The sequence below is a fragment of the Homo sapiens genome, chromosome 8, assembly GCF_000001405.40.
Source record: "Homo sapiens chromosome 8, GRCh38.p14 Primary Assembly".
NCBI lineage: Eukaryota > Metazoa > Chordata > Mammalia > Primates > Hominidae > Homo > Homo sapiens.
In genome coordinates, this window is record NC_000008.11 from 12597351 (window position 1) to 12621525 (window position 24175).

The window sequence follows — 24175 nt, forward strand, 5'->3', positions numbered from 1 at the left end:
ACTCTGTCTTAAGAAAAAATTAAATAAATAAAGGCTATGCCCAGTATTTTCCATGTACTGTCTTATTATCTCAGTAAATCCCATATAACCTTCCTATGAAACTGTATCTCATTTATCTCCATTTTATAGATGAGAAAACTGAGGCCCCTGGAGTACTATTAACTTTCCAAGACAGCATTGCTCATAAAGGGTACAGCAGGGACCCAAGGTCGACACTCTCACCCTCAAACATTTATACAAGTGTAGACCAATGGCTTTCAACTGGGGTGGTTTTGCTCACATAACACTCCCTTGCCCCACAGCATTGAAACCATCTGGAGACATCTGGGGTAGCCATAACTGGGAGGGTAGAATGGCACCTAGAGGATGGAGACCACAGATGCTGCTAACCGTCCTACAATACACAGGATGCCCCCCCACCACCACCACGAATGGTCTCACCCCAAATGTTGTGACGGTGCCAAAGCTGAGAAATCCAGGTTTCTCCTCAGCAAGAAGGAAAATACCTGCAACGTGGATGCACCTCTACAGGAGCCCCAGGCTGACAATAACCTTCCTGATCTGGTTTCAACCCTGGATGCTTTTACCTGGTGCATCCATCAGGGATTTCAGGGACTCCAGTGAGTTATCACCCTTGAATGCTCGGTTCTGCCTGACAACCCAGAAATCTCTGCCAAGGTGCCTGGTCTTGGGGAAGGCTCAGCAAGCGGTTGAGGTTGACAACCAAATACCTAGGAGAGACTTTTCTCTCTCTCCAGCAGGAGCTGTGGGTCAGACACACCCTGGGATCATTCACAAGCGGTCAATAAAGGCTTGGGGAGGGGCAGATTTTCTAGGACTTCTCAATGGGGTGGGTGTTTGTGGATACACAAGAAGCCTGTGAAACTTCTGATATTGGCAGGAAATCAATGCCCCCATCCTCCACCCCCACCCCCACCTCCCCACCATAAACACATGCCCTGCAGCAGGACTTGACACTCAGGGGCTCCTGGGGTCCCGATTTATCTGCTAAAACATCCTCTAGCCACCACCGAATAAAGCAACCCCTTGCGACCCAACCACAAGAGCACTGCCTGGAAGCAACTCCAAGGGACACCAAGTCACATTAAAACCTCAGCCATCCAGAACACCAGGCCTGGTGATGAGAAAGAACATTTTATCCTTAAAAGCATCTGAATGCCCATGCTGCTTCTTGCAGAGAAAAGTCCAAAATAATCTGTTATTAAAGAACGAGGATGGTTTTGACATTTTTACCAAGCTAGTGGTCTACGCAGACAAAATCTCATAAAAGGGCACTCTGTTCTTCTTGTTCCACTCAGACATGGCGTGTGAGTGAAGAAACGGGCTCTCCTCCTCAAAGAAATCACTGCTGATCCTCGTACCAGCCTGACACTGCTTCATGGGTTCTTCAAAGAGAGTATTCCCATAGGAACTAAAAGGGAAGAGGAATGTGTCTGGCGGGCATTGTGGGCAGCAGTGGGCTTTGGGCCAAATTTTAAGTTTGAAAATCAAGATTCCCTCTTTTCAAGGGGCCGCTGGACTGAGCAGATACAGACACCGTGAAAAGAGGGTGCCATGTTCAGATTCAGGAAACAAGGATGGTTTCTATTCAGTTCCTCCATCATCCTTCAGGTCATGCGATTCCCATTACCCTCTGTGGACCAAACAATTCAGTGGGGTTTCTGCCTTTTAAACATTTCATTATCAACATATCATCCTTTTAGCCTCCAGAAAGCATTTTAACATGGAGATTCTGGCTTAAGACTTTTGTGGGTCTGTCTCTCTCTCTTTTCCTTGAAACGGTCTCACTTTGTCACCCAGGCTGGAGTGCAGTGGCATGATCACAGCTCACTGCAGCCTGACCTTCTAGGCTCTAGCAATCCTCCCACCTCAGCCTCCCAAGTACTTGAGACTGCAGGCACTCACCACCATAACTGCCCTTTTTTTTTTTTTTTTTTTTTTTTTTTTTGGTAGATATGAGGCTTCACCATGTTGCCCAGGCTGGTCTTAAACTCCTGGGCTCAAGTGATCCCCCCCTTTCGGCCTCTCAAAGTGCTGGGATTATTGGCTTCAGCCACCATGCCCAGCCAAGGACCTTGTCTCTTGTGACGTACTCCAGAACAAAACATCACTGCAAAAACACACCAAGGCATGAGTTTTAGTACTAAGTCCCACTTATCCACCATACGCTATGTGCCAGGCACAACGCTAAGTGCTTCTATGGACGAGCTTCCCTTAATCTCAGCAGCAACAACCCCAGGCAATGGAGCCTGTTGACAGATCCATTTGCCACTGAAGACAGTAAGGCTCAGAGAGGGTAAGTGGCTTGTGCCATGTCAGCCAGCTAAGGAGGGGCAGAACCAGGATGCAAACCCCAGCCGCCTGGCTCCAGAATCGCGTTCCAGAGGTCTCACTACACTTGGTCACTCCACCGCATTCTGGTATCCTGGTCTTTGGCAGAGTCCACGTAAAAGAGGGAGGTAGAGGGAGTGAGAGGGACTTCATGCAATAAAGTTTCCCGGCGTTACACTGTCACCGTAATTGTGTCCCCAACCAGGACCTCTCCCTTCTCATCCTTTCCGTGATCCGCCCTGGAAAACCTTCCAAAGAACTGTCCTCCTTCTCCCGGGATCTCAGAGAAAATTCACCTGAGTTCAGTGTCCAGGTGACCCAAGCTCTGAATGCGGTAACGTGGACGGGGAGAAGAGGATGTCACCATGAGCAAGCCTCCCAGACAGCATCCAGGAGCAACCCCAAGACTGGGCAGGGGGGCTCTGATGCCGCCCACGGCGAGGAGGGCTGCCCATGCTGCCTAAATGGGTTCAGAATGAAGGCCGCCCTCTCTCCCATGTGGGGCTCATTAACCATGAATCCAATTATTAAGACAAGCTCAGCTGAGCAAATGGTCAAACATAAAAACATGTGGAAGGAACAAAGAGGTCAACCCCATTATCCATTAAAAACCATCAAGGTGGCGGCCCTCACTGAGGGGTACAGTTCTCCAGCGGGCTCTCATCTGCCCTCCAAACCCACATGCCTCCCCAGTGGAAGGCCAGCAAAGCCACACAGGAAGAGTTGGGGTAGGAAAGCCGAAAGTGAACCCCAGGAGGCCAGCCTGGCTATGCAGCCCCATCCCACACACACTGGCCCGGTGATTCAGGGGCCAACGTTTGCAGGACACCGGGAGCTCACAGGGACAGCGCCCCGGGGATGCAAGGAACTTTGCCTCTCTGTCCCTCTCTGTAGGGATGGAAAGAGGAGAGCGATTTCTGGGATGGAAGCCATCTGCCTCCTCTCAACTCTTGCTGCCCAACCAGAAAGGGAAGAAAAACAGGAAGATGCGGGACGGGTGAGGAGCTGGGTGAGCGCCGCCAGCCCGCAGTCCAGCAGAGCAGGGCTTGGCCAAGCCTGGCGCCAGGGACTTCCCCCCTACCCCACCACAGGCCCCTCGCCAGGTGAGAGGCACCGACAGGGTCCCAGACTGATGCCCCAGACAGGATGCCCAGCGCAACACCCGCCACTTCCCCTGCTAGGGGCCCCCAGGACGCGGGGCTGCCCCTCTCTTTTTGGCCAGCCGCAGAGTCCAGCGGGTCTCCCAGCCAGGGACGTCGTGGGAGAATCAGGAAGTCAAAGCCACACAGCCGAGAAGCGGCAGCTGGCGTCTCGGAGGCCGTCACGCGCTGTCACTCCGCGCCCTTCGGAGTTGCCGCTAAAATACCAACTTCAACCCGGGGCCGGCCACTGAGACTCCCGCCGCCCCTACCGGCGCCCCCGGCACCCCCGGACCCCGGCGCCCGCGTCACTTACTCCTCTGCCTTCGCCACCTGTCTGGGTGCCGGTCTCCTCCCTGCCTGGCCGCGGCGCGTCCTCCCCGTCCTCGCAGTCCTCGGGTTCTGCGCTTCCCCCCTCCAGCTACAGCCGCAGCCTCTTCTCTTCGGGAGGGACGTCGTCCTCCTCCCTCCTGGGCCGGCCATCCCTGCCTCGGGGCTTGCCAGTGGCTTCGGAGCTGCCGGAAGGGCTGGCCACGGCTGGGGGGCTCTGCCTGCACCTGGAGAAGAGGAAGGATACGGCGCGAGCGGCCTCTCGGCGGAGCTGGGGCGTCTGAGCGCGGGCTCGGTGGGTCCGCCCGGCGAGGGGCTGGGCATAGCGGCCGGCGCGGGCTCCTACGCGGGCCGCTCCTGGCTCTCGCGCCCTCTGCTGGCCGCTCGCGCGCACCGCGGACAAGCCGGGCCCTGGCCTGCGCTGCACTCACCTGCCCCCGCCCAGGCAGTCGCTGTCCCCTGCCTGTGGCCAGACCCGCTCTGGCCAGGCCCTGCACCTCCTCCCCACCCCAGCCAGGTTGCACCCCGATGGTCTCCCTGCCCAAGGAGGAGAGAAGAGAAGGGAAGCCCCGAGAGGGTGGACATCGGCCACAGCCACCTTGTCTTTGCTCTTACCGTGTGTCTTCCATGATTTGGAGGTGGTGGGAAACCCGAGGCTGCTCAAAACTCGTGGAGAATTCCGCCTGCAGGATGACATGAATGCACCTTCCCATTGCCTACCAACAGACCTTTTTTGAGCATCACTGTGGACCAGGTGTGGTGATGGGGGAGGGGATATTGTGGAGAACATGACAGGCATTGCCTTCACCCAGTGGGGCTCAGCGCTGGGTGGGAAGGCATTGAGAATGGACATTGTCAATTGGGCCAAAGGAGGCCAAGGAGAAGTGCTGGGGGCATGGGAACTGAAAAAGACAGGAGGCTCAGCAGGTCTTGGAGCTGGGAAAGTGACAGCAGCAGCGGCTGTTCCAAAGGAAGCAACAGCTGAGAGAGGTCTCGGAGAGTTGTTCTCAGCCCAGTGGAGGGTGTTCAGGCAGAGGGAACAGCGTGTGCAAAAGCCCAGAGGCTGGGAAAGAAGCAGAAAGAGGACTGTGGGGCTGGAGCGTGGTGGGCAAGGGGAGGAAGGTGTGGTGGGCAGACAGATTGACTGGGACCCAGCTGTGCAGGGGCAGAGGAGATAGGGGATCCTTGCAGGCCCCCAGCCGGGGCTCAGGCACAGAGACAATGCAGGTGGGCAAAGGGAGGAGACGTGGAGAAATATTTTGGAGGCATGCCCTGATGAATGAGCCCAGGATGCACCCTTAGTGTCAGTGTGGAGCTCCTTCCTTGACTGTGTGATGAGCTGAACTCGGGGGTATTTTCTGGACATTGAGGTGCTACACCAAGAGCCCAGGACAGGCTAAGTGAGCACTAGCAGCTCCTGGCCCACCTCAAAAGCAGGAGAGACAGGGGAGACTGGGGAGGCCGGGGTGGAAGGGGAAGCCAGGAAGGTAGGAGAGGCCAGGGAAGCAGAGGAGGCCAGGGAGGCAATGGAGGCAGGAGAGGCTGGGGAGGTTATGTCCTTTCCATGATTCTGCCCTGGATCCTAGGCCCCTGAACTCCCTGAGCTTCCCCACCCCAAGCGCTGGAACCAGGTTGCACAATGGTCTCCCCACTAAGCTCCTGATGGCAGCCCCTACCCTGCTGTGCTCCCTATTTCAACCCTAACAGCTCTCACAGTGGGCAGCACATAGTAGGTGCTCAGGAAACACTGGTGGGAGAGCACGTGGGTCTGCTCAGCACCTTCCTCTCTCCTCCAGCTCTCCCCATCATGAAATAATTCTGATAACGACACATGGACTTTGAGACCCTCTTATATTACTTTCCATATGCTAATGCATCTATACCTCACAGCAGCCCTGGGGGTGGGTGCAATGAGGATGCCCATTTTATAGAGGAGGAGACTGAGGTATAAAGAGGGTAAGTGACATACGCACACTACAGGGGCTGGGGCCAAGTGATCAGAGCACTCAATCCCCAAAGGCAAGGTAGATGCAGTTATCATAAAAGACAGCAGAGTCAAAGCTGCAACCAGAATAGCCTGAATCCCAGCGACCTATGGTGCCTGCTGATCGTGGCTTTCCTAGAAGTGAAATAGATAAGAAGCCTGCCACATTTCACTTGATCTGTGTTTGCAGAAGAGCTCTAGGTCAAGTGAGCAGAAGTCTAATCTGAATCATAAAAACAGAGTCACAGTCCCCAGTCAATTTCCAGACATAAGCCAGTTCACAGACCCGGAGTCCCTTGTCTGAATGAGAAGCCAGGTCCCCTCCAGAAAGGACTCTGCTCCACTGCCAAAAATTTATACTGTCAGTCTTTCTCCCAACCTGCCCCCAAGGGAATACACAGCCTTTCGCCAGGATGACTGAACAGGAGAAAAGGAACTAATGAGACCTGTGCAGGATCACTGGACACAGGCTCTGAACTGGCACTAGGGCGAGACTAGGGTCTACCAGTCAGAATAGGCATTTTGGAGGTCAGGTGAATGTTGGTGCAAGTTCATGTCACGGTAGGTCCATTGGGTCCCCAAATCCATCCTCTGGTTATATACAAAGCGGCAATGCTGAGATTCAAATTCAGGGCATCCGACATAGAGCCTGGGCTCTTACTCATGAAACATTCTGACACTAGTAACCAATTTAAAAGTGTAAACACCTCCTGGGACTAGAATGGGTCCCCAAAACAGTCATGTAAATTGGTTCTGTCAAGAATTTCCTCCCACCCCCTGCTGAGAGCCAGTTGCAAGGAGAGACTAGGGAAGGGCATTGGGTAACTTTGTTGCTAAAAGCTCTTCTGGATAAAGACGTATGGGAAAAGAAGCAAATAGAGTTCAGCAGAAGAGGTAAGAAAGTAAGTTTATGTTTGGCCAGGCACGGTGGCTCACGCCTGTAATCCCAGCACTTGAGAAGGCCGAGGCGGGCAGATCACGAGGTCAAGAGATCGGACTATCCTGGCCAACATGGTGAAGCCCCGTCTCTACTAAAAATTCAAAAATTAGATGGGCATGATGGCGCGCGCCTGTAGTCCCAGTTACTCGGTAGCCTGAGGCAGGAGAATCACTTGAACCCAGGAGGTGGAGATTGCAGTGAGCGGAGATCATGCCACTGCACTCCAACCTGGGCAACAGAGTAAGACTCTGTCTTAAAAAAAAATTAAAATAAATAAATGCTATGCGCAGCATTTTCCATGTACTGTCTTATTATCTCGGTGAATCCCATATAACCTTCCTATCAAAGTGTATCTCATTTATCTCCATTTTATAGATGAGAAAACTGAGGCCCCTGGAGTAGTATTAATTTTCCAAGACCCCATTGCTCATAAAGGGTACAGCAGGGACCCAAGCTCGACACTCTCACCCTCAAACATTTATACAATTGTGGACCAATGGCTCTCAACTGGGGTGGTTTTGCTCACGTACCGCTCCCTTGCCCCACATTATTTGAAACCATCTGGAGACGTCTGGGGTAGCCATAGCAGGGAGGGTAGAATGGCACCTAGAGGATGGAGACCACAGATGCTGCTAACCATCCTTCAATACACAGCACAGCCCCACCACCAGCACCACGAATGGTCTCACCACAAATATTCTGACTGTGCCAAAGCTGAGAAACCCAGGTTTCTCCTCAGCAAGAAGGAAAATCCCTGCAACGTGGATGCACCTCTACAGGAGCCCCAGGCTGACAATAACCTTCCTGATCTGGTTTCAACCCTGGATGCTTTTACCTGGTGCGTCCATCAGGGATTTCAGGGACTCCAGTGAGTTATCACCCTTGAATGCTCGGTTCTGCCTGACAACCCAGAAATCTCTGCCGAGGTGCCTGGTCTTGCGGAAGACTCAGCAAGTGGTTGAGGTGGACAACCAAATACCTAGGAGAGACTTTTCTCTCCCTCCAGGAGGAGCTGTGGGTCAGACACACACTGGGATCATTCACAAGCGGTCAATAAAGGCTTGAGGAGGGGCAGATTTTCTAGGCCTTCTCAATGGGGTGGGTGTTTGTGGATAAACAAGAAGCCTGTGAAACTTCTGATATTGGGAGGAAATCAATGCCCCCCCTTCCACCCTCCCCCACCTCCCCACCATAAACACATGCCCTGCAGCAGGACTTGACACTCAGGGGCTCCTGGGGTCCCGATTTATCTGCTAAAACATCCTCTAGCCACCACCGAATAAAGCAACCACTTGCCACCCAACCACAAGAGCACAGCCTGGGAGCTACTCCAAGGGACATCCAGTCACATTAAAACCTCAGCCATCCAGAGCACCAGTCCTGGTGATGAGAAAGAACATTTTATCCTTAAAAGCATCTGAATGCCCATGCTGCTTCTTGCAGAGAAAAGTCCAAAATAATCTGTTATTAAAGAACGAGGATGGTTTTGACATTTTTACCAAGCTAGTGGTCTACGCAGACAAAATCTCATAAAAGGGCACTCTGTTCTTCTTGATCCACTCAGACATGGCCTGTGAGTGAAGAAACGGGCTCTCCTCCTCAAAGAAATCACTGCTGATCCTCGTACCAGCCTGACACTGCTTCATGGGTTCTTCAAAGAGAGTATTCCCATAGGAACTAAAAGGGAAGAGGAATGTGTCTGGCGGGCATTGTGGGCAGCAGTGAGCTTTGGGCCAAATTTTAAGTTTGAAAATCAAGATTCCCTCTTTTCAAGGGGCTGCCGGACTGAGCAGATACAGGCACCGTGAAAAGAGCGTGCCATGTTCAGATTCAGGAAACAAGGATGGTTTCTGTTCAGTTCCTCCATCATCCTTCAGGTCATGCTATTCCCATTTCCCTCTGTGGACCAAACAATTCAGTGGGGTTTCTGCCTTTTAAACATTTCATTATCAACATATCATCCTTTTAGCCTCCAGAAAGCATTTTAACATGGAGATTCTGGCTTAAGACTTTTGTGGGTCTGTCTCTCTCTCTTTTCCTTGAAACGGTCTCACTTTGTCACCCAGGCTGGAGTGCAGTGGCATGATCACAGCTCACTGCAGCCTGACCTTCTAGGCTCTAGCAATCCTCCCACCTCAGCCTCCCAAGTACTTGAGACTGCAGGCACTCACCACCATAACTGCCTTTTTTTTTTTTTTTTTTTTTTTTTTTTTTGGTAGATATGAGGCTTCACCATGTTGCCCAGGCTGGTCTTAAACTCCTGGGCTCAAGCGATCCTCCCCCTTCGGCCTCTCAAAGTGCTGGGATTATTGGCTTCAGCCACCATGCCCAGCCAAGGACCTTGTCTCTTGTGACGTACTCCAGAACAAAACATCACTGCAAAAACACATCAGGGCATGAGTTTTAGTCTTAAGTCCCACTTATCCACCATACACTATGTGCCAGGCACAACGCTAAGTGCTTCTATGGACGAGCTTCCCTTAATCTCAGCAGCAACAACCCCAGGCAATGGAGCCTGTTGACAGATCCATTTGCCACTGAAGACAGTAAGCCTCAGACAGGGTAAGTGGCTTGTGCCATGTCAGCCAGCTAAGGAGGGGCAGAACCAGGATGCAAACCCCAGCCGCCTGGCTCCAGAATCGCATTCCCAAGGTCTCACTACACTTGGCCTCTCCACCGCATTCTGGTATCCTGGTCTTTGGCAGAGTCCACGTAAAAGAGGGAGGTAGAGGGAGTGAGAGGGACTTCATGCAATAAAGTTTCCCGGCGTTACACTGCCACCATAATTGTGTCCCCGACCAGGACCTCTCCCTTCTCATCCTTTCCGTGATCGGCCCTGGAAAACCTTCCAAAGAACTGTCCTCCTTCTCCCGGGATCTCAGAGAAAATTCACCTGAGTTCAGTGTCCAGGTGACCCAAGCTCTGAATGCGGTAACGTGGACGGGGAGATGAGGATGTCACCATGAGCAAGCCTCCCAGACAGCATCCAGGAGCAACCCCAAGACTGGGCGGGGGGGCTCTGATCCTGCCCATGGCGAGGAGGGCTGCCCGTGCTGCCTAAATGGGTTCAGAATGAAGGCTGCACTCCCAACTTCAACCCGGGGACGGCCACGGAGCCTCCCGACGCCCCTTCGTTGCGTCCCCGGCACCCCCGAGCCCCCGGCACTCCCGGACCCCCGCGCCCGCATCACTTACTCCTTTGCCGTCGCCACCTGTCTGGGTGCCGGTCTCCTTCCTGCCCGGTAGCGGCGGGTCCTCCCCGTCCTCGCAGTCCTCGGGCTGTGCGCTTCCCCCCTCCAGCTACAGCCCCAGCCTCTTCTCTTCGGGAGGGACGTCCTCCTCCCCCATCCTGGGACTGCCATCCCTGCCTCGCGGCTTGCCAGTGGCTTCGGAGCTGCTGGAAGGGCTGGCCATGGCTCCGCGGGCTCTGCCTGAACTTGGGGAAGAAGAAGGACCCGGCTCAAGCGGCTTCTCGGCGGAGCTGGGGCGTCTGAGCGCGGGCTCGGTGGGTCCGCGCGGCGCGGAGCTGGGTATCGGGGCCGGCCCGGGCTCCTCCGCGGGCCGCGCCTGGCTCTCTGGCGCCCTCTTCTGGCCGCTCTCGCGCACCTCTGCCACGCCGGGCCCAGGCCTGCGCAGCTGTCACATGTCCTGGCCCAGGAGGTCGCTGTCCCTTGCCCATGGACAGGCCCGCTCTGGCAATGCCCTGCACCACCTCCCCGCCCCAGCCAGGTTGCACCCCGATGGTCTCCCTGCCCAAGGAGGAGAGAAGAGAAGGGACGCCACGAGAGGGTGGACATCGGCCACAGCCACCTTGTCTTTGCTCTTACCCTGTGTCTTCCATGATTTGGAGGTGGTGGGAAACCCGAGGCTGCTCAAAACTCGTGGAGAATTCCGCCTGCAGGATGACATGAATGCACCTTCGCATTGCCTACCAACAGATCTTTTTTGAGCATCACTGTGGACCAGTCGTGGTGATGGGGGAGGGGATATTGTGGTGAACATGACAGGCATTGCCTTCACCAAGTGGGGCTCAGCGCTGGGTGGGAAGGCATTGAGAATGGACATTGTCAATTGGGCCAAAGGAGGCCAAGGAGAAGTGCTGGGGGCATGGGAACTGAAAAAGACAGGAGGCTCAGCAGGTCTTTGAGCTGGGAGAGGGACAGCAGCAGCGGCTTTTCCAAAGGAAGCAACAGCTGAGAGAGGTCTCAGAGAGTTGTTCTCAGCACAGTGGAGGGCGTTCAGGCAGAAGGAACAGCGTGTGCAAAAGCCCAGAGGCTGGGAAAGAAGCAGAAAGAGGACTGTGGGGCTGGAGCGTGGTGGGCAACAGGAGAGAGGTGTGGTGGGCAGACAGATTGCCTGGGACCCAGCCGTGCAGGGGCAGAGGAGATAGAGGATCCTTGCAGGCCCCCAGCCGGGGCTGAGGCACAGAGACAATGCAGGTGGGCAAAGGGAGGAGACGTGGAGAAATATTTTGGAGGCATGCCCTGATGAATGAGCCCAGGATGCACCCTTAGTGTCAGTGTGGAGCTCCTTTCTTGGCTGTGTGATAAGCTGAACCCGGGGGTATTTTCTGGACATCGAAGTGCTACACCCAGAGTCCAGGACAGGCTAAGTGAGCACCAGCAGCTCCTGGCCCACCTCAAAAGCAGGAAAGACAGGGGAGACTGGGGAGGCCGGGGCGGAAGGGGAAGCCAGAAAGGCAGGAGAGGCCAGGGAACAGAGGAGGTCAGGGAGGCAGGGGAGGCAGGGGAGGCTGGGGCGGCTGTGTCCTTTCCATGATTCTGCCCTGGATCCTAGGCCCCTGTAGTCCCTGGGCTTCCCCACCCCAAGCACTGTAACCATGTTGCACAACGGTCTCCCCACTAAGCTCCTGATGGCAGCCCCTATCCTGCTGTTCTCCCTATTTCAACCCTAACAGCTCTCACAGTGGGCAGCACATAGTGGGTGCTCAGGAAACACTGGTGGGAGAGCACGTGGGTCTGCTCAGCACCTTCCTCTCTCCTCCAGCTCTCCCCTGTCACGAAATAATTCTGATAACGACACATGGGCTTTGAGACCCTCTTCTATTACCTTCCATATGCTAATCCATCTATACCTCACAGCAGCCCTGGGGGTGGGTGCAATGAGGATGCCCATTTTATAGAGGAGGAGACTGAGGTATAAAGAGGGTAAGTGACATACGCACAGTACAGGGGCTGGGGTCAAGTGATCAGAGCACTCAATCCCCAAAGGCAAGGTGGATGCAGTTACCATAAAAGACAGCAGAGTCAAAGCTGCAACCAGAATAGCCTGACTCGCAGAGACCTATGGTGCCGGCTGATCGTGGCTTTCCTAGAACTGAAATAGATAAGAAGCCTGCCACATTTTTACTTGATCTGTGTTTGAAGAAGAATTCTAGGTCAGGTGAGCAGAAGTCTAATCTGAATCATAAAAACAGAGTCACAGTCCCCCGTCAATTCCCAGACATAAGCCAGTTCACAGACCTGGAGTCCCTTGTCTGAATGGGAAGCCAGGTCCCCTCCAGAAAGGACTCTGCTCCACTGCCAAAAATTTATACTGTCAATCTTTCTCCCAGCCTGTCCCCAAGGGAATACACAGCCTTTACCAGGATGACTGAATAGGAGAAAAAGAACTAATGGGACCTGTGCAAGACCACTGGACACAGGCTCTGAACTGGCACTAGGGCGAGACTAGGGTCTACCAGTCAGAATAGGCATTTTGGAGTTCAGGTGAATGTTGGCCCAAGTTCATGTCATGGTAGATCCATTGGGTCCCCAAATCCGTCCTCTGCTTATATACAAAATGGCCATGTTGAGACTTAAATTCAGGGTATCCAACTTAGAGGCTGTGCTCTTACTCATGAAACATTCTGACACTAGTAACCAATTTAAAAATGTAAACTGCTTCCAGCAGAAGATAAGAGCACCAACAGTGAAGTCAAGCTTCCCAGACATGCTCATGCTAGATTGACCAATCCTCAGTTGACCCATAGATCCATGAAAATAAATGATTGTTGTATTAAGCCACTGAGATTTGGAGTGACTTTTTATGCAGCATTTTGTGACAACAACTAACTGATACAAGGGTCACCGTCCTTTATCTCTGTAGATTTTAACCAATTTTTAATAGCTAGATGGAGATCTTCTAGTTGCCTTTATTTATAATGAAAATGACAGTAGAACTAGTTTGGCCTGACACTACCAGTAACCTAACCAGAAATTCACAAATACTTTCTTCTCCAACCCGCCCCAACCAACCTTTTTTGTTTGTTTGTTTTTGGGTTCTCCCTCTTTGCCTAGGCTAGAGTACAAATGGTACAGTCAGAGCTCACTGTAACATCAAAATCCTGGGCTCAAGTGATCTTCCCCTTCAGCCTCCTATGTAGCTAAGACTACAGAAATGTGCCACCATGCCTGGCTAATTTTTTTATTCTTTGCAGAGACAGGGTCTCACTATATTGCCCAAGTTGGTTTCAAACTCCTGGCCTCAAGCAGTCCTCCTGCCTCACCCTCCCAAAGTGCTAGGATTATAGGCATGATCCACCACAACCAGCCATTTCTTCTTTATAAATAGAAACCCTATTTTATTCTGACAGTGGGTTGCTTTCTTTTTTTTTTTTTCTAAGAAAAAGTTGGCCCAGCCCCAGGGAATAAATTTTGTCTGGTCTAAACAGGGTTGGCCAACTATAGACCAAGGGCCAAATCTGGCCCTCTGACTGTTTGTATAATTTAAGTTTTACTGGAATAAAACCAGGTCCATTGATTTATGCCTTGTCTACATATGCTTTTAGACTACGATGGCACCACTGCGTCACTGCAACAGAGGTTATCTAGACAAAAAGCCTAAAATATTACCGTTTGCCTCTTTATGGAAAAAGTTTGTCATTCCCTAGTCTAAGGTTTAGATTCTGAGCTTGTCATTTTAGCCTACACCCCCTTACCAGTGACTAGCTCAAAACAAGTCTGTGATTCCATTCTGACTGTTCTACTGAGGGAATTCCCCCTTCTTCTCATGTGGAGCTGATGAGGGTAAGTTGTATTAATAGGACATATGCTCAGGTTTTCTGAAAAATACTTTTATCTAGAAATGCATAGGAATATGCTAGTGCCTGAAGATTGTCTCACCTGCCTCCAGAGCTAGTGCCCACACTTACTACTGAGAGGCCTGAGGAAACGCCTGCCTACCCACCACCAGAACCTGCATACGTCACATGGAGAACTAGAGATCAGCCTGCCACACACACCACCAAGGAGCCCAGTGGCGAACCTGCCCACCTGGCCCAGTGCTGCCACTGCCAGCAACCAAAGAAGCCACATGGAGGCCCAGGGATTGGCCCACGCAGACAGGCTATCATCAGTGCCCACAAACACTGCCCATGGTCCCTAGTACTGACACACCTCGTCCACAACCACTACCACTGATGCTGAAGGACAAGACTTCCTGGCATGCCCATCCTCAGCAAAGCCTCACCACAGCCTCCAATAACAACAGCAGTCTGGCCAAGTGTGGTGGCTCACACCAGTAATCCCCGCACTTTGAGGGGATGAGGTGGGTAGATCATGAGGTAAGGAGTTCGAGACCAGCCTGGCCAACATGGTGAAACCCCGTCTCTACTAAAAATACAAAAATTAGCTGGGCATGGTTGCACGTGCCTATAGTCCCAGCTACTCAGGAGGCTGAGGCAGGAGAATTGCTTGAACCCGGGAGGCAGAGGTTGCAGTGAGCTGAGATTGTGTCACTGCACTCCAGCCTGGTGACAGAGCTAGACTCCATCTCAATAACCACAAAAAACAAACACTGCAGTCTAAGCCACTGAATGACTCACAGACACCACTCATGCCAATTACAGCTGAAGGAATCATATGCAGATTATACCACTGTACCCAGCGAGAATCAAAGCCAAAGTGTGATATCCAATGAACATTGTAGATACAGCTATAAGAAAAGGTCTTTCCCATATAAAAGCCAATCCATAAAGTTGGAAGAAATGACTGTTATGTCAGAGGCACAGATAGTCACATAAGGATGCAAGAAATATGAAAGAGGAAACATAACATCTCCAAAGAAGCACAATAATTCTCCAGCAACAGATCCAATGAAAAGAAAATCTATGAAATGCCTGAAAAAAAATTCAGAATAATGTTATTAAAGAAACTCAGGGAGATACAAGAGAACACAGATAATGAATAAAAAAAAAAAAAAAAAAAAAAAAAAACAGGAAAACAATTCATGATCTGAATGACAAATTCAACAGAGATAGACAGCATAACAAAGAACCAAACACAAATCCTGGAAGAGAATAAATCATTGAAATAAATACAAAAGATAATTGACAGCTTTAACAATAGACTAGATCAAGCAAAACAAAGAATTTCTGAACCTGAAGACTAGTCTTTAAAATAATCCAGTCAGACAAAAAGAAAGAAAAAAGACTGAAGCAAGGCTACATGACATATGGGACACATATGTGACCAAAAACTGAAATTCTGGGAGTTCTGGATGGAGATGAGATGGGTAAAGGCATAGAAAACCTATTTAATGAAATAATAACTGAAAACTTCCTGAAAGCTTCCAAATGCAGGAAGCTCAAAGCTTACCAAATAAATACAACTCAAAAAGGTCTTCTCCAAGGCACATTATGGTAAAATTGTCAAAAGACAAAGAGAAAATGCTAAAAACAGCAAGAGAAAAGCATCAAGTCACTTATAAGAGAATCTCCATCAGGCTAACAGTGGATTTCTCAGCAGAAACCTTACAGGCTAGGAGAAAAGAGGATGTATACTACAAGTAAAAAAAAAAAAAAAAAAAAAAGTAAGCCAAAAATACTATACCCAGCAAAGCTATCCTTCGCAAATGAAGGAGCCTGGCACAGTGGCTCACATCTGCAATTCCAGAGACTCAAGGCTGAGGCAGGAGGACCATTTGATCCCAGGAGTTCAAGGCTGCAGTGAGCTATGATCATGCCACTGTACTCCAGCCTGGGTGACAGAGTAAGACTCCATTGCTAAAAAATAATAATAATAATAAAAGAGAAAAAGTATTTCCCAGATAAACAAAAGACTGTTTGTTTGTGTCTTGTTTGTTGTGGTCCTACAAGAAATGTTTAAGGCAGTCCTACATTGGGAAGCAAAAGAACAATATCTACCATCATGAAAATACATGAAAGTATAAAACTCACTGCTAGTTCAGACACACAAAGAAGAAAAGATTCAAACATCACCACTAAAGAAAACCACCAAACTGCAACCATAAATAATGAGAGAAAAAAGGAACAAAGGTGTATTAGTCTGTTTTCACACTGCTGATAAAGACATACCTGACTGAGACTGGGCAATTTACAAAAGAAAGAGGTTTAATGGACGTACACTTCCACATAGCTGAGGAAGCCTAAGAATCACGTTGGAAGGCAAGAAGAAGCAAGTCATGTCTCACATGGATGGCACCTGGCAAAGGGAGAGCTTCTGCAGAGAAACTACCCTTTTCAAAAACATCAGAACTTCTGAGACGTATTCACTATCATGAGAACAGCATGGGAAAGACCTGCCCCCATGACTCAATTACTTCCCACCAGGTCCCTCCCACAACATGTGGGAATTCAAGATGAGATTTGGGTGGGGATAAAATCAAACCATATCATTCTGCCCCTGGCCCTTCCCAAATCTCATATCCTCACATTTCAAAACCAATCATGCCTTCCCAACAGTCCCCCAAAGTCTTAACTAAGTTAAGCATTAACTCAAAAGTCCAGAGTCCAAAGTCTCATGTGAGACAAGGCAAATCCCTTCTGCCTATGAGCATGTAAAATCAAAAACAAGTTAGTTACTTCCTAGATACTATGGGGGTATAGGCATTGGGTAAACACAGTCATTCCAAATGGCAGAAAATTGCCAAAACAAAGGGGCTACAGGACCCATGCAAGCCCAAAATCCAGTGGGGCAGTCAAATCTCAAAGCTCCAAAATGATCTCCTTTGACTCCATGTCTCACATGCAGGTCATGCTGATGTAAGAGGTGGGCTCCCATGGCCTTGGGAGAAAAAAGGCCACAGCTCCACTCCTGTGGCTTTGTAGGGTTTAAATCCCCCCTGGCTCCTTTCACGGGTTGGCATTGAGTGTCTGCAGCTTTTCCAGGCACACAGTGCAAGCTGTCAGTGAATCCACCATTCTGGGGTCTGGAGGATGGTGGCCCTCTTCTCAAAGCTCCACTAGGTGGCGCTGCAGTAGGGACTCTATGTGGGGGCTCTGACCCCACATTTCCCCTCTGCACTGCCCTAGTACAGGTTCTCCATGAGTGCCCTGCCCCTGCAGCAAACTCCTGCCTGGATATCTAGGCATTTCCTTACACCTTCTGAAATCTAGGCAGCAGTTCCCAAACCTCAATTATTGACTTCTGTGCACCCACAGGCTCAACACTATGTGGAAGCTGCTAAGGCTTGGGGCTTGCACCCTCTGAAGCCACAGCCCACGTTGTACTTTGGCTCCTTTTAGCTGCAGCTGGAGTGGCTAGGACTCTGGCACCCTAGGCTGCTCACAGCAGGGGTCCCTGGGTCCAGCCCACAAAACCATCTTTTCTTCCTAGGCCTCTGGACCTTTGATGGGAGGGGCTGCCATGAAGACCTGTGACATGCCCTGGAGACATTTTCCCCATTGTCTTGGGGATTCACATTTGACTCCTCGTTACTTAAACAAACTTCTGCAGCTAGATCGAATTTTTCTTGAGAAAATGGGATTTTCTTTTCTATCGCATTGTCAGGCTGCAGATTTTCCAAACTTTCATGCTCTGCTTCCCTTACAAAACTGAGGGCCTTTAACAGCACCCAAGTCATCTCTTGAATGCTTTGCTGCTTAGAAATTTCTTTTATCAGATACCCTAAATCATCTCTCTCAAGTTCAAAACTACACAAATCTCTACAGCAGGGGCAAAAAGCCACCAGTCTCTTTGCTAAAACATAACAGGAGTCACCATTGTGCCAGTTCCCAACAAGCTCCTCATTTCCATCTGAGACAACCTGAGCCTAAACTTTATTGCCCATATAACCATCAGCATTTTGGGCAAGTCTCTAGGAAATCTCTTCCAAATTTTCCCACATTTTCCTGTCTCCTTCTGAGCTCTCCAAACTGTCCCAACCTCTGCCTGTTTCCCAGTTCCAAAGTCACTTCCACATATTCAGGTATCTTTTAGCAACACCTCACTTGTGGTACTAATTTACTGCATTAGTCCATTTTCATACAGCTGATAAAGACACATTCAAGACTGGGAAATTTACAAAAGAAAGAGGTTTAATGGACTTACAGTTCTACATTGCTGGGGAGGCTTCAAAATCATTGCGGAAGTCAAGGAGAGGCAAGTCACATCTTACGGGGATGGCAACAGGCAGAGAGCTTGAGCAGGGAAACTCCTCCTTTTAAAACCATCAGATCTCACGAGACTTATTCACTATTAAAAGAATAGCATGGGAAATACCTGCCTCCATGATTCAACTACTTCCCACTGGGTCCCTCCCACAACTCATGGGAATTCAAGATGAGATCTGAGTGGGGACACAGCCAAACCATATCAAAAGGATATACAGAATAACCAGAAAACAATGAACAAAATGACAGGAATAAGTCCTCACCTATCAATAATAACTTCGAGTATGTGTTAAATTACCTACCTAAAAGATAGAGACAGGCTTAATGGATAAAAAATGACCCAACAACGTCTACAAGAAACTCACTTCACTTGTAAAGACACACACAGACTGAAAGTGAAGGGATGGAAAAAGATATACCACACAAACAGAAATCAAAAGTAATCAGGAGTAGCTAAACTTGCATCAGATAAAACAGACTTTAAGTCAAAAACTGTAAAAAGGACAAAGAAGTTCATTATATGGTAATAAAGGGATCAATTCAGCAACAAAGTATAACAATTCTAAATATGCATGCAACCAACATAACCGCATCCAGACACATATAGCAAATATTATTAAATCTACATGGAGAGATAGAGTCCAATACAATGATAGTTAAGAAATTCAATATCCTACTCTCAGCATTGGACAATTCATCTAGACATAAAATCAACAAAGAAACATTAGATTTAAGCTGCACTTTGGACCAAATGGACCTAACAGATATTTTCAGAATATTTCATCCAGCAGCAGCAGAATATACAATCATCTCATCAACACATGGAACATTCTCCAGGATAGACCATATGTTAGGACACAGAACAAGGCTCAATAAAATTTTAAAAATTAAAATATCAAGTATCTTCTCAGACCACAATGGAATAAAGCTTGAAAGCAATAAGAAGAAAAAATTTGGAAACTGTACAAATACATGGACATTAAACATGCTATTGAATGATTTTTGGGTCAATGAAGAAATTAAGATGGACATCAAAAATTTTTTTTAAACAGAAAATGGAAACACATCATGCAAAACCTATAGGATACAGCAAAAGCAGTACTAAGAGGAAAGTCTGTAACAATAAATTCCTACACCAAAAAAGTAGAAAGATTTCAAATAAACAACCTAATGATGCACCTCAAGGAACTCAAAAAGAAAGAACCAATCAAACACACAATTAGTAGAAAGAAAAAATATAAATAACATAGCAGAACCAAATGCAACAGAGACAAAAAAGAAATGCAAAGAATCAACAAGATAAAAGTTGGTTTTTTGAAAAGTTAAACAAAACTGATAAACCACTAGTGAGGCTAACCAACAAAAAAAAAAAAAAAAAAAAGGAGACCCAAATAAATACAATCAGAAATGAAAAAGGAGACATTACAACTGTTATCAAAGAAATAAAAAGGATCATTAGAGGCTATTATGAGCAACCATATGCTAACAAATTGGAAAACCTAGAGGAAAGGGATAAATTCCCAGACATACACAGCCTACCAAGATTGAACTAGGAAGAAACAGAAAACCTGAACTGACCCAAAATGAATAGCAGGTTTGAATCAGTAACAAAAAGTCTCCCAAAAGAGAAAAGCCCTAGACTAGGCTTTTATGCTGATTTCTACCAAATTTATAAAGAAAAACAAACACCAATTCTTCTCAAACTATTCCCAAAAATTGAAGACGGAGGAATTCTTCCTAACTCATTGTATAAGGCCAGCATTACCCTGATATCCAATCAAGACAAGGACACAACAAAGGGAGAAAACTACAGGCCAATATTCCTAATGAACATACATGGTAAAATTCTCAGCATAATACTACCAAGCCAAATCTAATGATGAATGAAAAAGATAATATACCATGATCAAGTGGGATTTATCCCAGGAATGCAAAAATGGCTCAACATACACAAATCAATACATGTGATACATGATATCAACAAGATGAAAGGCAAAAACTATCTGATCATCTCAGCAGATGCAGAAAAATCACTCAGTAAAACTTACCATTCCTTCATGATGAAAACTCTCAACAAATTATGCATAGAAGGAACACTTCAACCTAAGAAAAGGCATATATGACAAATCTACAGCTAACATCCTACTCACTGGGAAAAATTGAAAAGCCTTTCCTCTAAGAACTGGAACAAGAGAAGGATGCCCACTTTCACCCCACTTATTCAACACAGTATGGGACATCCAAGCCAGAGTGATCAGACAAGATAAAGAAATAAAAGGCATCCAAATGGACAAGAGGAAGTCAAATTGTCTCACTTTGCAAATGTCATAATCTTATACCTGTAAACAGAAAAACCTAAAGACTCCACCAAAAAACTCTTAAAATAAATTAGGCTGGGCATGGTAGTTCATGCCTGTAATCCCAGCACTTTGGGAGGCCAAGGTGGACGGATCACCTGAGGTTGGGAGTTTGAGACCAGCCTGGCCAACATGGTGAAACCCTGTCTCTACCAAAAATACAATTAGCCAGGCATGGTGGTAAGTGCCTGTAATCCCAGCTACTTGGGAGGCTGAAGCAGGAGAATCGCTTGAACCCGAGAGGTGGAGGTTGCAGTGAGCCAAGATTGCACCACTGCACTCCAGCCAGGAAAACAGAATGAGACTCTCTCAAAAAATAAAAAATAAAAATTAAAAATTTTTTAAAAACGGATGTATAATTCAGTAAAGCTTCAGGACACAAAATCAACATACAAAAATCAGTAATGTTTCTATATACCAGTAACAAACTAGCTAAAATAGAAATCAAGGAAGAAATTCTATTTACAATAGCTACAAAAATAAAATACCTAGGAATAAACTCAACCAAGGATGAGGAAAAAAAAAACCAAAAAACCTCTACAATGAAAACCACAAAACACTGTTAAAATAATTTGAGAAGGACACAAACAAATGGAAAGGCATCTTATGCTCGTCGGTTGGAATAACTAATACTGTTAAAATGACCATACTACCCGAAGCAATCTAGAGATTCAGTATAAGCCCTATCAATTATATTTTTCACAGCAACAGGAAAAAAAAACCCTGAAATTCATATGGAACCACAGAAAACCCCAAATAACCAGAGCAATACTGAGCAAAAAGAACAAAGCTAGAAGCCTCACACTACCTGATTTAAAAATATACTGCAAAGAGGCCGGGTGAGGTGGCTCAAGCCTATATCCCAGCACTTTGGGAGGCCAAGGCAGGTGGATCACAAGGTCAGGAGATCGAGACCATCCTGGCTAACACGGTGAAACCCCGTCTTTTCTTAAAAAAAAAAAAAAAAAAAAAGTTAGCCAGGCGTGGTGGCGGGCACCTGTAGTCCCAGCAGCTACTCGGGAGGCTGAGGCAGGAGAATGGCGTGAACCCGGGAGTAAGAGCTTGCAGTGAGCAGAGATCACGCCACTGCACTCCAGCCTCGGTGACAGAGCAAGACTCCATCTCAAAAAGAAAAAAAAAATAACATTATATATATATACTGCAAAGCTATAGTAACCAAAACAGCGTGTATTGGTATTAAAACAGACACAAAAACAAAGGAAACAGACTAAGGAATCCAGAAATGAATCCACATATTTCCAGCTAACTGATTTTCAAGAAAGCTGTCAAGAACATACATTGAATAAAGGACACCCTCTTCATTAAATGGTGCCAGGAAAACTAGATATCCAAACACAGAATAATGAAACTAGACCCTTATCTCTCATCACTTACAAAAATAAACTCAAAATCAATTAAGGACTTAAATGTAACAGCCACAACTATAAAACTACTAGAAGTAAACACAGGAGAAACGCTTGAGAACAAAGATTGTATGGCTAACACTTAAAAAGTACAAGCAACAAAAACAGACAAATGGGATTATATTAAATTAAATACCTTCTGCATATCAAAGAAAACAATCAACAGAGTGAAAAGACAACACCCCTCCCTTACACCATACACAAAAATTAACTCAAGATGGCTTAAAGACTTAAATGTAAAACCCATAACTATAAAAACGCTAGAAGACAACCTAGGCAATACCCTCCAGTACATAGTGATGGGCAAAGAGTTCATGGTAAAGATGCCAAACGCAATTGCCACAAAAGCAAAAAGTGACAAATGGGATCTAATTAAATGAAAGAGCTTCTGCACAGCAAAAGAAACTATCAAAAAACAAACAGACATTTCTCAAAAGAAGATATACACATCACCAAGTTTATGGAAAAAATATTCAACATCACTAATCATCACGGAAATGCAAATCAAAACCACAATAAGATATCATCTCACACTTGTTAGAATGGCTATTATTAAAAAGATAAAGCACAACAAATGCTAGCAAGCATGTGAAGAAAAGAAAATTATTGTATATTGTTGGTGGGAATGTAAATTAGTACAGCCATTATGAAAAAAAGTACAGAGATTTCTCAAAAAAACTAAGAACAAATCTACCATGATCCAGCAATCCCACTCCTAGGTATACATCCAAAAAAAAGGATATCAGTGTATCAGCGGGATATCTGTACCTCCATATTTACTGCAGCACTATTTACAATAGCCAAGATATGGAATCAATCTGAGTGTCAATCAATGGATGAATGGTTAAAGAAAATGGGAATATATGCACAATAGAATAGTATTCAGCCTTAAAAAAGAATGAAATCCTGTCATTTTCAGCTAAATGGATGAAATTAAACGTCATAACGTTAGGTGAACTAGGCCATGCACAGAAAGAAAACTATTGCATGTTCTCACTTATATGAGCGGTTTATGTTCCTGGAAATCAAAGTGGGGGCCATGTTTCAGGTCAGTAGGGTCAGGGACAGAGATAGCAGTTATGGACTTGTGTGCCCTGGAGCTATATAAAATTGATATCATGGAGATAAAGAGTAGAATGATAGTTAATAGAGGCTGGGAAGAGGAGGGGTTTGAAAAGAGGTTGATTAATGAGTATAAAAATATATAATGGAATAAGATCTAGTGTTCATTATCACAGAAAGTGACTACAACAATTTGTTGTGTATTTCTTTTTTTTAATTTCAATAGTTTTTAGGGAACAGGTGGTATTTGGTTACATGGATAAGTTCCTTAGTGGTGATCTCTGAAATTTTGGCATACCCATCACCAAAGCAGTTTACCCAATGTATAGTCTTTTCTCTCTCACTCCCTCCCACCTTCCCATTGAGCCCCCAAAGTCCACTCTTTCATTCTTGTGCCTTTGCATCATCATAGCTTAGCTCCCACTTACGAGTGAGAACATGCAATGTTTGGTTTTCCATTCCTGAGTTACTTCATTTAGAATAATGGTCAAATCCATCCAGGTTGCTATGCATGCCATTATTTTATTCCTTTTTAAGGCTAAGTAGTATTCTATGGTATACATATATATAACACATTTTCTTTATCCACTAACTGATTGATGGACATTTGGGCTGGTTCTATAGTTTTGCAACTGTGAATTCTGCTGCTGTAAACATGTGTGCAAATGTATCTTTTTCATATAATGACTTCTTTTCCTCTGGGTAGATACCTAGCAGTGGGATTGCTGGATCAAATGGTAGATGTACTTCTAGTTCTTTAAGGAATCTCCATACTGCTTTCCATAGTGGTGGTACTAGCTTACATTCCCACCATCAGTGTAAAAGCGTTGTCTTTCACCACATCCATGCCAACATCAATTTTTGTTTTTTTTGTTTTGTTTTGTTTTTTGCTTTTTTGAGATGGAGTCTCGCTCTGTCGCCCAGGCTGGAGTACAGTGGTGCCATATCAGCTCACTGCAACCTCTGCCTCCCTGGTTCAAGCAATTCTCCTGCCTCCGCCTCCTGAGTAGCTGGGATTACAGACAACTGCCACCATGCATGGCTAATTTTTGTATTTTCAGTAGAGACTGGGTTTCACCATGTTGGTCAGGCTGGTCTCAAACTCCTGACCTCGTGATCCGCCCACCTTGGCCTCCCAAAGTGCTAGGACTACAGGCGTGAGCCACCGCGCCTGGCCCTCTTTTTGTTTATTTTACACGTGGTATTGCATTGTGGTTTTGATTTGCATTTCCCT

At 47.2% G+C, this 24175-nt stretch overlaps 1 long non-coding RNA gene across 1 annotated transcript in view, besides 6 other annotated features; it reads right to left on the reverse strand.

Moving 5' to 3' along the window:
• LOC729732 (uncharacterized) overlaps positions 1 to 24175 on the reverse strand; it is a 128533-nt gene that overhangs the window by 60272 nt on the left and 44086 nt on the right. Inside the window, exons 3-6 of the long non-coding RNA NR_047662.2 lie at positions 10573 to 10640; positions 9941 to 10176; positions 4437 to 4504; positions 3808 to 4048 (exon numbers count right to left, since the gene is read on the reverse strand). This is a non-coding gene — a long non-coding RNA (uncharacterized LOC729732). The remainder of the gene's footprint in view (positions 1 to 3807; positions 4049 to 4436; positions 4505 to 9940; positions 10177 to 10572; positions 10641 to 24175) is intronic.
• Positions 3325 to 4109: an enhancer, noted in NCBI's record as "H3K27ac-H3K4me1 hESC enhancer chr8:12458184-12458968 (GRCh37/hg19 assembly coordinates)". NCBI's record gives its function as "activates a minimal SCP1, AML or CMV promoter by ChIP-STARR-seq in naive H9 embryonic stem cells {active_cell/tissue: H9 hESC(naive)}" and the evidence as "EXISTENCE:reporter gene assay evidence [ECO:0000049][PMID:30033119]".
• Positions 3325 to 4290: a biological region, named in NCBI's record as "Sharpr-MPRA regulatory region 3896".
• Positions 3930 to 4224: a silencer, noted in NCBI's record as "tiled region #3896; HepG2 Repressive DNase matched - State 24:Quies, and K562 Repressive non-DNase unmatched - State 9:DNaseU". NCBI's record gives its function as "represses a minimal TATA promoter and a strong SV40 promoter by Sharpr-MPRA in HepG2 and K562 cells {active_cell/tissue: HepG2 | K562}" and the evidence as "EXISTENCE:reporter gene assay evidence [ECO:0000049][PMID:27701403]".
• Positions 4021 to 4290: a silencer, noted in NCBI's record as "silent region_18948". NCBI's record gives its function as "represses an Ori minimal core promoter by ATAC-STARR-seq in GM12878 lymphoblastoid cells {active_cell/tissue: GM12878}" and the evidence as "EXISTENCE:reporter gene assay evidence [ECO:0000049][PMID:35858748]".
• Positions 14092 to 14591: an enhancer, noted in NCBI's record as "H3K4me1 hESC enhancer chr8:12468951-12469450 (GRCh37/hg19 assembly coordinates)". NCBI's record gives its function as "activates a minimal SCP1, AML or CMV promoter by ChIP-STARR-seq in primed H9 embryonic stem cells {active_cell/tissue: H9 hESC(primed)}" and the evidence as "EXISTENCE:reporter gene assay evidence [ECO:0000049][PMID:30033119]".
• Positions 16666 to 17167: an enhancer, noted in NCBI's record as "H3K4me1 hESC enhancer chr8:12471525-12472026 (GRCh37/hg19 assembly coordinates)". NCBI's record gives its function as "activates a minimal SCP1, AML or CMV promoter by ChIP-STARR-seq in primed H9 embryonic stem cells {active_cell/tissue: H9 hESC(primed)}" and the evidence as "EXISTENCE:reporter gene assay evidence [ECO:0000049][PMID:30033119]".